The 13,645-nt window shown below is 40.7% G+C and overlaps 1 protein-coding gene across 2 annotated transcripts in view; it reads left to right on the top strand.

Annotated features, from left to right (window-relative positions):
- WAPL (WAPL cohesin release factor) overlaps positions 1-13,645 on the top strand; it is an 86,537-nt gene that overhangs the window by 65,289 nt on the left and 7,603 nt on the right. For both annotated transcript variants that reach the window (NM_001318328.2, NM_015045.5), the window contains exons 13-17: positions 2,673-2,848; positions 3,169-3,284; positions 4,373-4,537; positions 10,055-10,262; positions 13,141-13,229. In NM_001318328.2, coding sequence (NP_001305257.1) covers positions 2,673-2,848; positions 3,169-3,284; positions 4,373-4,537; positions 10,055-10,262; positions 13,141-13,229 — 754 coding nt within the window. The remainder of the gene's footprint in view (positions 1-2,672; positions 2,849-3,168; positions 3,285-4,372; positions 4,538-10,054; positions 10,263-13,140; positions 13,230-13,645) is intronic.

Genomic DNA, 13,645 nt, shown 5'->3' with positions numbered 1-13,645 from the left:
GGTGATTTAAATAGTGTCTTTAGAAATACTAGACCCATTAGGGATTATATTTCCTTGTTATTTTGGGTAGTATCTTGAGAATCCTTTTTTTTTTTTTTTGGTATCATAAAGTTTTTAATGACACACACATTTTGTCCTTTACCTTACAAATATTTCTTTGGGTTTTATTCTGATCATCATGCAATATACAGAATAGTTTCTTGCCATTACCTTATTAGGGTAGAACCACCTTTGCAACTTTGGACACCATTTAGTAGACGTGAAATGGAATATAGAAAGATAGAATGCTTGAACAAAACCTCTCAGTGCTAGCTGCCTTAACTAAGGTCCTTCTCTCAGCTTAGTACCCCTGTGACAGCTTGCAAGACACTCTGACTTTGTTTTATTGTGCTTATGTAGTCAGATTATGAGGCTGATCATTGAGTGTCCATCAGACTCTACATTATTGATTCCTCTCTCAAGTTGCCCCAATATCCTTTGTGGCCAGAGGAAGAGAAAAACATTCAACTAGTAAATCCAATTTCTCTTGCGAAAAAGACTCATAGTTCTGATAAAGAGTCATTTCAATACCTGTTTCACCATTTAGAAAACATGTTTCTGTTTGTATAGCACCTCTGGGAACCTAATGCAGTAATATCGCCTTCTTTTCCATTTGTCCCTGATCTAGATGCTATATTTTTTATGCAACCCACCTGCTGTTAAGTATTTTACAATTATAGATTTACGCTCTATCTTTTATTCTGTCCCATCTCACCCTGCTAGCAAATTTTTATTTGTTTTCTTTTTTTCTTTTTTTTTCTTTCTTTCTTTTTTTTTTTTTAGTATTTATTGATCATTCTTGGGTGTTTCTCGGAGAGGGGGATTTGGCAGGGTCATAGGACGATAGTGGAGGGAAGGTCAGCAGATAAACATGTGAACAAGGGTCTCTGGTTTTCCTAGGCAGAGGACCCTGCGGCCTTCCTTGTGTTTGTGTCCCTGGGTACTTGAGATTAAGGAGTGGTGATGACTCTTAACGAGCATGCTGCCTTCAAGCATCTGTTTAACAAAGCACATCTTGCACTGCCCTTAATCCATTTAACCCTGAGTGGACACAGCACATGTTTCAGAGAGCACGGGGTTGGGGGTAAGTTTGCAGATTAACAGCATCCCAAGGCAGAAGAATTTTTCTTAGTACAGAACAAAATGGAGTCTCCTATGTCTACTTCTTTCTACACAGACACAATAACAATCTGATTTTCTTTTCCCCACATTTCCCCCTTTTCTGTTCGACAAAACTGCCATCGTCATCATGGCCCGTTCTCAGTGAGCTGTTGGGTACACCTCCCAGACGGGGTGGCGGCCGGGCAGAGGGGCTCCTCACTTCCCAGACGGGGTGGCCGGGCAGAGGCACCCCCCCACCTCCTGGACGGGGCGGCTGCCGGGCGGGGGCTGCCCCCCACCTCCCTCCCGGACGGGGCGGCTGGCCGGGCGGGGGCTGCCCCCCACCTCCCGGACGGGGTGGCTGCCGGGCGGAGACGCTCCTCACTTCCCAGACCGGGCGGCTGCCGGGCGGAGGGGCTCCTCACTTCTCAGACGGGGTGGCCGGGCAGAGACGCTCCTCACCTCCCAGACGGGGTGGCGGTCGGGCAGAGACACTCCTCAGTTCCCAGACGGGGTCGCGGCCGGGCAGAGGTGCTCCCCACATCTCAGACGATGGGCGGCCGGGCAGAGACGCTCGTCACTTCCCAGACGGGATGGCGGCTGGGAAGAGGCACTCCTCACTTCCCAGGCTGGGCGGCCGGGCAGAGGGCCTCCTCACATCCCAGACGATGGGCGGCCAGGCAGAGACGCTCCTCACTTCCCAGACAGGGTGGCGGCTGGGCAGAGGCTGCAGTCTCCGCACTTTGGGAGGCCAAGGCAGGCGGCTGGGAGGTGGAGGTTGTAGCGAGCCAAGATCACGCCACTGCACTCCAGCAAAAACCAGTCAGGTGTGGCGGCGCCCGCCTGCAGTCCCAGGCACTAGGCAGGCTGAGGCAGGAGAATCAGGCAGGGAGGTTGCAGTGAGCCGAGATGGCGGCAGTACAGTCCAGCCTCGGCTTGGCATCAGAGGGAGACCGTGGAGAGAGAGGGAGAGGGAGATTGTGGAGGGAGAGGGAGAGGGAGAGCGAGAATCCTTAGATGTAGCTCATCCCCTTGGAAAATTGTCGAGGAGACATGTCAATTTGAATGAACTTAAATTAAAAAATAATGATTTATACTGTCAACGTTGGTAGTGAAGGTAATAAAAATAATGATTTGCTCTAATGCGTATGAAATATTTAATACTTGTCTTTACATTAACATTTGTTATGTAGTAATAACATTTACTACCTCAGAAGTGTCCAACATTAGCTGTTAACCATTTGCCCTGTTTGAGAAAGGGTTGTGGTCTGTCTCTTATATTGGAGAGATCAATAACATGCGAGACAATTTGGAAATAAAGAGATTACTAGTGGTAAATGTAGATAGTACAGATATAAACTTCTGCCATAAGTTTTTAATTTTAACATTCCTTGAATAAGTTTTTTAAGGTATCAGATTTTTCCAAAATAAAGTGAAATTTCATCCGATAGCCTTTAGGTTCAAGTAAATAGAAATTTGCTGTGTACCTATTATTATTTACTATAATAGTCTATATTTTATTTCCTTTTAAGAGCATTACAGCATTGTGAAGAACTGATTCAGCAGTACAACCGTGCTGAGGACAGCATATGCTTAGCTGACAGTAAGCCTCTGCCTCACCAGAATGTAACTAACCATGTAGGCAAAGCAGTGGAGGACTGCATGAGGGCCATCATCGGGGTGTTGCTTAATTTAACTAATGATAATGGTAAGATTTTTTTCCATTTTTTTCTCATTGAAAGATGTATATTGCATGTGAAAACAAGTTATTTTTGTTTCTCCTTTTCCTGGGGTAGTGATTTTTTTATTTGTCATAATGTACTTGACTTACTCATGTGTAGGTTTAAATTGCTTTTAAGAGTTGATATTTTTAGAAGCCTAGTAGCTTGACCCAGAAGTATCAATAGTATGTTTCAATAGAGGAATGACTATACAATTCTAAGTTAATATCCATGTTAATAAATCTCCATTATTAGTGTTCTAAGGAAGAATCAGTAACCATTTTCCTGTATCCATTTCTTATTTCAGAGTGGGGCAGCACCAAAACAGGAGAGCAGGACGGTCTCATAGGCACAGCGCTGAACTGTGTGCTTCAGGTTCCAAAGTACCTACCTCAGGAGCAGAGATTTGATATTCGAGTGCTGGTAAGTTGAAATGACTTTTTCAGAAATGAGTATCATATCTAATAAGGTGTGCAAAATGTTAACCTTAGTTTGGGTTTAAGAACCAACCCTTTAATATATTGTGGGTTTTTTTTCATGAATTTCCTTATGAACTTACTGTGTGTGTTTCTTTTTTTTTTTTTTTTTTTTTTTTTTTTTTTTTTTTTTTTTTTTTTTTTTTTTTGGGAGATGGAGTCTACAGTGGCAACATCTTGGCTCACTGCAACCTCCGCCTCCCTGGTTCAAGCAGTTCTCCTGCCTCAGCCTTCCAGGTGCTGGGACTGTAGGCATGTGCCACCACGCCTGGCTAATTTTTGTATTTTTAGTAGAGACGGGGTTTTGCCATGTTGCCAAGGCTGGTTTCAAACTCCTGGCCTCAAGTGATCTGCCCGCCTCAGCCTCCCAAAGTGGTGGGATTACAGGTATGAGCTATTGCGTCTGGCTGAACGTACTTCTTATTGTGCAAAAGAAAGCCATGAAAAGACCCTATGTAAAAATAAAAAGTACGAAAGCTAAAATTGGCAATTAAAAATAAAAGGAATGATTCTTTGGGAAAATCGGTGGTTTTTTTGTTTTGTTTTTTTTGTTCTTTTTTTGTTTGTTTTTGAGATGGAGTCTCACTCACTCTCTTGCCCAGGCTGGAGTGCAGTGGCACAGTCTCGGCTCACTGCAACCTCCATCTCCTGGGTTCAAGCTATTCTCCTGCCTCAGCCTCCCAATTAGGTGGGATTACAGGCATCTGACAACACACCTGGCTTATTTTTGTATTTTTAGTAGAGATGGGGTTTCCCCATGTTTGTCAGGTTGGTCTCGAGCTCCTGGCCTCAAGTGATCCACCTACCTTGGCCTCCCAAAGTGCTGGGATTACAGGCATGAGCGCTGTGCCTGGCCTTTTTTCTTTTTTTTTTTTCTTTTTTTCTTTTTGGCCTTTCATACTGGTTTTTAGCCATTTTGTAGGTGGTAGAACACTGATATTCAGCTTTTTAGTTGCCATTAAAAATTGTGTATATTGTGTTCATTTGTTTTAAGTACTCATCTCTGATAATATGTGTCTTTTAAACTTTTTGAAGGGCTTAGGTCTGCTGATAAATCTAGTGGAGTATAGTGCTCGGAATCGGCACTGTCTTGTCAACATGGAAACATCGTGCTCTTTTGATTCTTCCATCTGTAGTGGAGAAGGGGATGATAGTTTAAGGATAGGTGGACAAGTTCATGCTGTCCAGGCTTTAGTGCAGGTAAGCAACCACTTTAAAAACAAACTCATAACTGCAGTTTGTTGGATTTGTCCAATTTCTTTTATCATTTGCACCTTTTACCTCCTTTTCTTGCCCATCCACTGCTGGCCCTCTCTGCCCCTCCCCCGGCCTTTTTAGTTAGAACTCCTGAAGCATGTCTCTGCTGGGGTAGAAAGGGACTGTTTTACACCTGACCAATTTTTAAATATTCACAGCGTCTAGGGTGAAAGCTTATTTTAAACCAGAATTTGTAACCAATTAAAAATGTGGTATAGGCTGGGCGCAGTGACTCACGCCTATAATCCCAGCACTTTGGGAGGCTGAGGCAAGTGGATCACTTGAGGTCAGGAGTTCAAGACCAGCCTGACCAATATGGTGAAACCTCATCTCTACTAAAAATACAAAAGTTAGCCAGGCATGGTGGCATGCACCTGTAATCCCAGCTACTCAGGAGGCTGAGAGGCAGGAGAATCACTTGAACTGAGGAGGTGGAAGTTGCGGTGAGCCGAAGTGGCATGTCACTGCACTCCAGCCTGGACAACAGAGCAAGACTCTGTCTCCAAAAAAAAAAAAAGGTGGTATAATTTCTCTGTAGATCAGTAAGAGGTACACTGCTTAGAATGCATTCTTACTTTATTTTGCTGATTTTTTTTCGACTGTTATAATCACTCCTTAAGCATTGTTACCAAAAAGCAGAGACAAAGGCACATTTGTTCTATTAATGAAATTGGGTGCAGTGGCTTACGCCTGTAATCCCAGCACTTTGGGAGACTGAGGTGGGGAGGATCACTTGAGTCCAGGAGTTCAAGACCAGCCTGGGCAACATAGTGAGCTCCCATCTCTATTAAAAAAAAAAAAAAGTCAAGAATCCAGGCCCATCACATCCACTTCGTGTCCTCTAGTATTTATTTACTCGTCTGATCTGTGTCCAGAACTTTGACCTTATGGACCACAGAAAACTGGAAGTCCTTTGTCACCTGTTCCCTTACCCAGTCTGGAAAGTGGCAAAGTAGCCGAGCATGGGAAATTGTGAATGAGAGTGTTTCTTTGAGCCATTTAAAGTCATTTTTTATTATCCTCTTTTGTTCTCTATTATGTGTGATTGAATGTTGACTATAGATAAGAGGTAGTTAATCCCTAGGCTTTTCTTCTTAGACTCAGAATACTCCGTTTTGACTAGCCTTGAAGTTTTAGTTTATTTAAAATACAAAATTAAATGTGAAACTAGTGATAGATTATCATTACTTATCAGTAACAGTAATAGTAAATGGTAGTAGTAATTTACTATCAATAGTTGATAATAGACTGCTTTTAGTCTCCAGATACCATTTAGAGATTTCATTTAATGCAAAAAACATTTGAAAATGTTTGGCACCTACCGCTTTGATCCCATTGACAACATTTATTTTTCTGCTAAATGAAGCATTTCTTGGCCGGGCAAGGTAGCTCACACCTATAATCCCAGCACTTTGGGAGGCCAAGGTGGGTGGATTGTTTGAGCTCAGGAGTTTGAGACCAGCATGGGCAACATAGTGAGATCCTGTCTGTACAAAAAATAAAACAGTTGGTTGAGTGTGGTGGTGCATGCTCATAGTACCAGCTGCTCGGGACGCTGAAGTGAGAGGATTGCTTGCACCCAGGAGTTTGAAGTTGTCGTGAGCCGTGATTACAGTACTGTGCTCCAGCCTGGGCAACAGAGTGAGACCCTGTCTCAAAAACGTTTAAAAAAAGTATTCTTTTTTTCTGTTCAGTAGACTTGTTTTTAAACTTTTTATTTCAAAATAGTTATAGACTCACAGGAAGTTACAAAAATAGTACAAAGAATCCCTCCCATTTACCCTTTACCTAACTTCCTCAAATGGTGACATCTTATATAACTGTAGTACTATAGCAAAACCAAGAAATTGACATTAGTACATTACTGTTAACTGCACTTTAGACCTTATTCAGTTTCACCATTTTCATCTGCATTCATTTATGTTTGTGTGTAACATATGTACCTCTGTTCAGTTTTATTACGTGTATAGATTCATGTACTCACCACTACATTGAGATATAGAACCGTCACCATAAAAGAATTCCCTTTTGCTGCTCACTGTACAGCCTACCTGCCCTCCCTGTCTCCTAGCTACCACCAACGTGTTTTCTATCTTTTTCCATCTCTTGTTTTATTTTTTTCTATCATTCTAGTCTCTTTCTTTTAAAAATTGACTTTTCTTCAAATGGAACCTAGAAATGAATAAAAACTTACCGTCAGTCGCCTCAGGAGCTGTGTTTGAAGGCACAGATGATAGATCTGCATTATCCACATAATAGGGGTTCATTTGCAGAAGCCATCCCCACACCCTCAGAGATCCCTGTTTGTGAGTTGTTTCAGGGATAGTCTCAAATTTTCCTACTGTGTCTAATTGACCTGGGAATATCACTTCCAGTATTCCTCTTTTGCACTTAGTGTTATAGAAGCCTCTTGTCCTTCAGGGTATCATCCTATATCTTCTCTGTCTTTCTTTTATCTGCTATGGTTTATGGTTTGTCATTTTTAAATCAGTTTAAAGTTTTTGTTTTTCAATTGTAATACCTTTTGGGTGATGGGTTCTGTTACTCATTTTAGAAAATTGTGCTGCCTTGTACTCACATCAGTTACCTTAAAGTGTCAAGAAATGGCTCTTAATTCTGTTATTCAAAGATAGAGTGGAAAAATCCATGTTCAGATTTATATCGTTTATGCTACTGATAACGTTGGCCTGAATCCAGTAATTTTCAAATTACGTATCTTTTCGATAATGTTGTATAAATGGAATCTTACAGGTAGTTCTGATTACTGACATGAACTTTCCTCTTTCTAGCTGTTCTTTTCTTACCTATTTATGGATCTGTTTATTTTTTAAAAACCAAACATAATTCACATACGTAGTGGGGGAAAAAAAGTCAGATCCAGAAAGGTTTAAACTCCACAGATCTATTTCCTAAAACGTTACCATTTGTAATAGTTTTGTGTTTGTCCTGAGAAATTAGTGTTTATGCATATATCAAAATAAATGTGCAGGCCAGACATGGTGGCTCATGCCTGTAATCTGTAATCCCAGCACTTGGGGAGGCTGAGGCAGGCAGATTGCTTGAGCCCAGGAGTTTGAGCCTGGCCTGGGCAACATGGCAAAATTATGTTTCTACTAAAAATTAAAAAATTAGCCAGGTGTGGTGGCATGTGCCTGTAGTCCCAGCTATTTGGGAGGCTGAGGTGGGAGAATCACATGAGCCCAGGAAGTTGAGGCTGCAGTGAGCCATGATCCTGCCACTGCACTCCAGCCTGGGCAATGGGAATAAGACCCTGTCCGAAAAGTAAATAAAAAAATGTGCAATGTGTTTTATATAAATGGACTCTTACTGTACATAGTATTTAGTCTATACCCACTCTTTGCTTAATGTGTCTTCCTGAGCTCTTCATGTCAACACGTAGGTTCATCACATTCTTTGTAATGACTGCAAACTAGTAGCTTTTTGATTTATACATACATACATACAGGGTCTCACTCTTTTACCCAGGCTGAAGTACAGTGGTCCAGTCACAGCTCACTACAGCCTTTACCTCCCAGGCTCAGGTGATCCTTTCACCTCAGCCTCCCAAGTAGGTGGAACTACAGGCACATGCCACCACGTTTGGCTAAGTTTCGTATTTGTAGAGCTGAGGTCTCAAACTCTTGCACTCAAGTGATCCTCCTGCTTTGTCTCCTGAAGTGCTAGGATCACAGGCATGAGCCACCATGCCCTGCCTTAGTACTTTATTTAACCAAACCTCTACTGATACACTTTTTGATGGTTTTCTGTTTTTTTAAGTTTTATTTTGTTACAAAAATTACAGAAATAAATACCATAGCATCTAAATCTTAGGCCATACTTTTCTTTTTTTTAAATTTTTTTGGAGACAGAGTCTTGCTCTGTCGTCCAGGCTGGAGTGCAGCGGCACCATCTCAGCTTACTGCAACCCCTGACTCCCAGGTTCCAGTGATTCTCCTGCCTCAGCCTCCCAAGTAGCTGGGATTACAAGCTTGCGCCACCACGCCTGGCTAATTTTTGTATTTTTAGTAGAGGTGGTTTCACTGTGTTTGCCGGGCTAGTCGCCAACTCCTGACCTAAAGTGATCCGCCTGCCTCAGCCTCCCAAAGTGCTAGGATTTACAGGCATGAGCCACCCTGCATGGCCAGGCCATACTTTTCAAAGTATGTCTGTGGGCATAATTTCCTGGTTTAGGAATTGTGTCAGAATATATTGTACTGTATTTAAAGTTGATATGCCTAACTCCTCCCACCCTCATCACCAAACACATACTTCCTGTGCCCTTAATTTATACTTCCCCCTAAAACTTTTTTTTTTTATAAGAGTCCCCATTCTTTCATACTCTTGCCAAGATTTTTGCCAGTCTAACAGGTTCCTGGATGTTTTTGGTATTTCCTTAAATGGCATTTTGTATATGTCCAGAAACAGTAGTGGTTCATTCTTTTTATTTTTCCAAAGCCCTTGCTGTGTTTAGCTTCCTTTTTTGGCCTTTTCAAAAGCAGTAATCCTTGAAGTTGTGTCTTCAGAGTAACCTGTAACCCCCAACAACTCAGTTCTTCCTGGAGTCATAAGTAGGAGTCCATCATTCTCTTCTAATACATTTTTATCTCAGGGCTTGAAAATTATTGGGAAATCCAGAGAGCTTTTGTTGTTTATATGTGCTTTATCTGTCTATATTTACTGAATTAGAAATTGAAACTGGGAGACATTACATTAGCTGTTAGAGCAGTGACATAATCACATGGCATGTAGATTCCAAAACTCCACTGTGCACTCAGTGAAAGAAGAAACAAGTCAGCAGACCCCTTAGTAGTAGTATGAGTGTAATTTTGACCTCCTTTACTCCCTGATAGGGTCTTAAGGATCCGTAGGGATTCTTAGACCAATTTTGAGAATTGCTGCTCTCTATAAAGTTTAATTTTTATTTTCTGAAAGATATTATTTTATATAATCTCTCTTTGAAGTTTGTATACCACTCTTCTGTATACTCAACAAATCTTTGAGGTCTACTTGGCATTTGATTTTCAGGCAATTCTTTCTAGTAACTTGGAGCATTTCCCAAATTGTGTCAGTGTTTTTTCTATGTGTCAGTACTATACCAGCATAGGGAAAATAAAGTAAGTGAAGGCAAGGAATTTAGCATATTCCCTTTTGACTTAAGAATTTTCCAATTTTGTATTTTTTTGCTTGAATTTCTTGTATTATGCAAATTAAGGGAAATTATTGAGACTCATTCTTGCATCATTATTAGATGACTTCATTGAATCTTAGCAGCATTTATACTTTCGTTTTGGCTTTCAGTAGGGTGTAGAGCAAAAGCTTTTACTTATACTCACCTCTTTTTATCACATAACCATCTTAGAGTTAGTGATAGATTTAAAAGCAACTATAACTTTATATTTGCATATATGCATATTGATTGGCAATCTCTTTTTAATGATCTTCAAAAATAATTTTTATCAGCTATTCCTTGAGCGAGAGCGGGCAGCCCAGCTAGCAGAAAGTAAAACAGATGAGTTGATCAAAGATGCTCCCACCACTCAGCATGATAAGAGTGGAGAGTGGCAAGAAACAAGTGGAGAAATACAGTGGGTGTCAACTGAAAAGACTGATGGTACAGAAGAGAAACATAAGAAGGAGGAGGAGGATGAAGAACTTGACCTCAATAAAGGTATATTTACTTTGAATGGTGTATTTAAATTGAAGATAGTGGTTTGATTTTGTTTTTTTCTTCAAACTATTTTAATTTGCAGATTGTCTTAATCTGGCTATTGCTTGAGGACCTCTCTAGTTCAGTCCAGACAAGCTTTGATACTTAAGTGCTTGTGGTAGTTCTCCCACAGTGAGGAAGGTGCGTGCCAGTGGCAGGCATGCTAGTGACGGGAAAGATCCAGTTAAGTCACTCTTCCTTCCGGGGCCCTCCTTTCCTTTACTTATCTGTGAAGAGACATATAGGAGACATAATAGGATTTTTTCAGTTTTCAGTTTTTGAGATTGTTTTTTCAGCTTCACTTTAAACTTGAAGATCTATTGTCAGATTACAGTAATAGTTCTCAAAGTGTAAGTACTAGATGGTAAACACAGTAAGAAATATACTGTAGGCTGGTGGCTCACACCTGTGAGCCCAGCACTTTGGGAGGCTGAAGCAGGAGGATTACTTGAGGCTAGGAGTTTGAGACAACAATCTAGCAAGACCCCATCCCTACAAAAAATATAAAAAATTAGCCTGGCATGGTGGCACAAGCCTGTAGTCCTAGGTGGTTGGGAGGCTGAGGTGGGAGGATTGCTTGAGCTGAGGAATTCAAAGTTACAGTGAGCTATGATTGTGCCACTGCCCTCCACCCTGGGTGACAGAGTGAGGCCCTTTCTCATTAAAAAAAAAAAAGATACTAGAGGTAATATCTTCGCTAATCATACATTATTGAGTATCTACTGTTGTCAGAATTTGTGATACAACTTTTGCCATTTATACAAGTTCTGCAAAATAGCCATTTGTAACTTTGTATCACTAAGGTTATGAATTTAAGTTCAGTCCGCCCTCCATACATGTGGGTTCCACATCCACAGAGTCAGCCAACCACAAATCAAAAATATTTGAGGAAGAAAAAATAATACAGGTTAGTAAATAATATAGTATAACAGCTATTTACATAACATTTACATTTTATTAGGTGTCATAAGTAATCTAGAAATGATTTACAGTATGCCAGAGGATGTGTGTGACTTATATGCAAATACTGCACCCTTTCCTGTCAGAGATTTGAGCCTCCTCCAGTTTTGGTATTGGAGGGTGCTGGCATCCTGGAACCAATACCCCTTGGATGCAGAGGGACGACCATATGTTCAGCTTCACATCAGTAGGAAGCAAGCCGCAGCAACGTCTCGTTCTGAGCCTTTTCTCCTGTTACTCCCACTCCTCCCCAAATCTGATCACCATTAGTTTTAATATTGTAATACTTGTCTTTTCCTTTTTCTCAGTTACTAGGTTTTGATGCATTTCTTTTTTTTTTTTTTTTTTTTGGCGTAATAACATTTTTGGTTTTTTAGCAGTCTTTTAAAAAGTTACAGCTTTATTGAGATAGAATTCACAGACTGTACAATTCATCCTTTAAAAATGAGTAATTCAGTAGTTTTTCATGTATTCACAAGGTTGTGCTGCCATCACCACTAATTCCAAATATTGTTTTTATCACCACTAAAGGAACCCAATACCCATTAGCAGCCATCACCCCTATTTTCCCCTCCTCCCTGGGCACTGGCAACCACTAATCTACTTTCTGTGTCTATGGATTTGCCTGTTTTGGACATTCCATTTAAAAAGGAGTCATACAATATGTTGCCTTTTATGACTGGCTTCTTTCAGCCAGCAGAATGTTTTCAAAGTTCATCCGTGATACAGTATTTGTTAATACTGTATTCCTTAGACAAATAATATTCCATAATATTGTTATACCATAGTTTATTTGTTTACTGATGGACATTTGAGTGGTTTCTGCTTTTTAGCTTTTTGAACAGTTATCTACAAGTTTTTTTGTAGACATACATTTTCATTTCTTTTGGATTTATACCTAGGAGTTGGAATTGTTGGATTGTATGTAACTGTGTGTTTTAACATTCTAAGAAAATGCCAAATTGTTTTCCAGTGTGGCTGCACTATTTTACATTCCCATCAGCAACGTATGAAGGTTCCAAGTTACTTGTATTGTAAAAGAAAATTTTTAGTCATCCTAGTGGGCGTGACATGATATCTCATTGTGGTTTGATTTGCAGTTCCCTGGTGATTAATGATGCTGACCATCTTTTCATGAACTCATTGGCCATTTGTGTATCTTGTTTGAAGAAATCTCTAAGTCTTCTGCCCGGTTTTGTGGGTTGTTTTTGTTGTTTTTGAGACAGAGTCTTGCTCTGTCACCCAGGCTGGAGAGCAGTGGCACGATCAGGGCTTACTGCAGCCTTGACGTCCCAGGCTCAAGCGATCCTCCCACCTCAGCCTTGCAAGTAGCTGGGAGCTACAGGCGTGCACCGCCACACCCATTAAAGGTTTTTGAATTTTAATGGAGAGGAGGTCTCACTATGTTGCCCAGGCTGGTCTCAAACTCCTGAGCTCAAGTGATCCTTCCAACTCAGCCTTCCAAAGTGCTAGAATTATAGGTGTGAGGCACCACGCCTGGCCCTTTGCCCAGTTTTAATTGGGTTGTTTTTGTTGTTGAGTTGTAAGAATGTTTTTTATATGTTCTGGATACTTGACCCTTATCAAGTTCATGATTTGCAAATATATTTTCTCATTCTGTGGATTAATCTTTTCAGTTTGTTAATTGTGTCCTTTGCAACACAAAAATTTTAACTAAAAGTTTTATGGTTTCAGCTTTTCTTTTGGATCCCTATTTCATTTTGATTAAATTTTTGTTAATCTGTGGATATCCAGTTGTCCTAGCATCATTCGTTGATTTGTAGCAGTTTTAAAGTAAAGATAACTAACAGAATGGTTGGTTTTGTGAGGTTTGTGTTAATTAATATACTGTTACAATTCTTTACTTCAATTCTCTCAGCCCTTCAGCATGCCGGCAAACACATGGAGGATTGCATTGTGGCCTCCTACACAGCACTACTTCTTGGGTGTCTCTGCCAGGAAAGTCCAGTAAGTACATAGTTCAGTGATGTTTTATGTATCTTTGAAAGATTCCAATGTAACGACTTCATACCTTTACATGTTTCACTTATTTATTTCTTCAGTGTTTCCCCCTTAATGTCCAACTTATTCCACAAAGGCTATTGGCTGATTATAGGGTTGTTTAAATTGTTTGTTTCCTATGGAGGAAAAATGGCAAGAAAATGTGTTAACATTTCCAGTAGTTTTTTTTTTTTTTTTTGAGGCGGAGTCTCGTTCTGTCACCCAGGCTGGAGTGCAGTGGCGCAATCTCGGCTCACTGCAAGCTCCACCTCCCTGGTTCCCGCCATTCTCCTGCCTCAGTCTCCCGAGTAGCTGGGACTACAGGCGCCTGCCACCGCCCCCGGCTAACTTTTTTTTGTATTTTTTGGTAGAGACGGGGATTC

This window comes from Homo sapiens, chromosome 10 (assembly GCF_000001405.40).
Source record: "Homo sapiens chromosome 10, GRCh38.p14 Primary Assembly".
NCBI lineage: Eukaryota > Metazoa > Chordata > Mammalia > Primates > Hominidae > Homo > Homo sapiens.
Note: the sequence above shows the minus strand (reverse complement) of the source record. Positions and strands in the feature narration are given on the sequence as shown.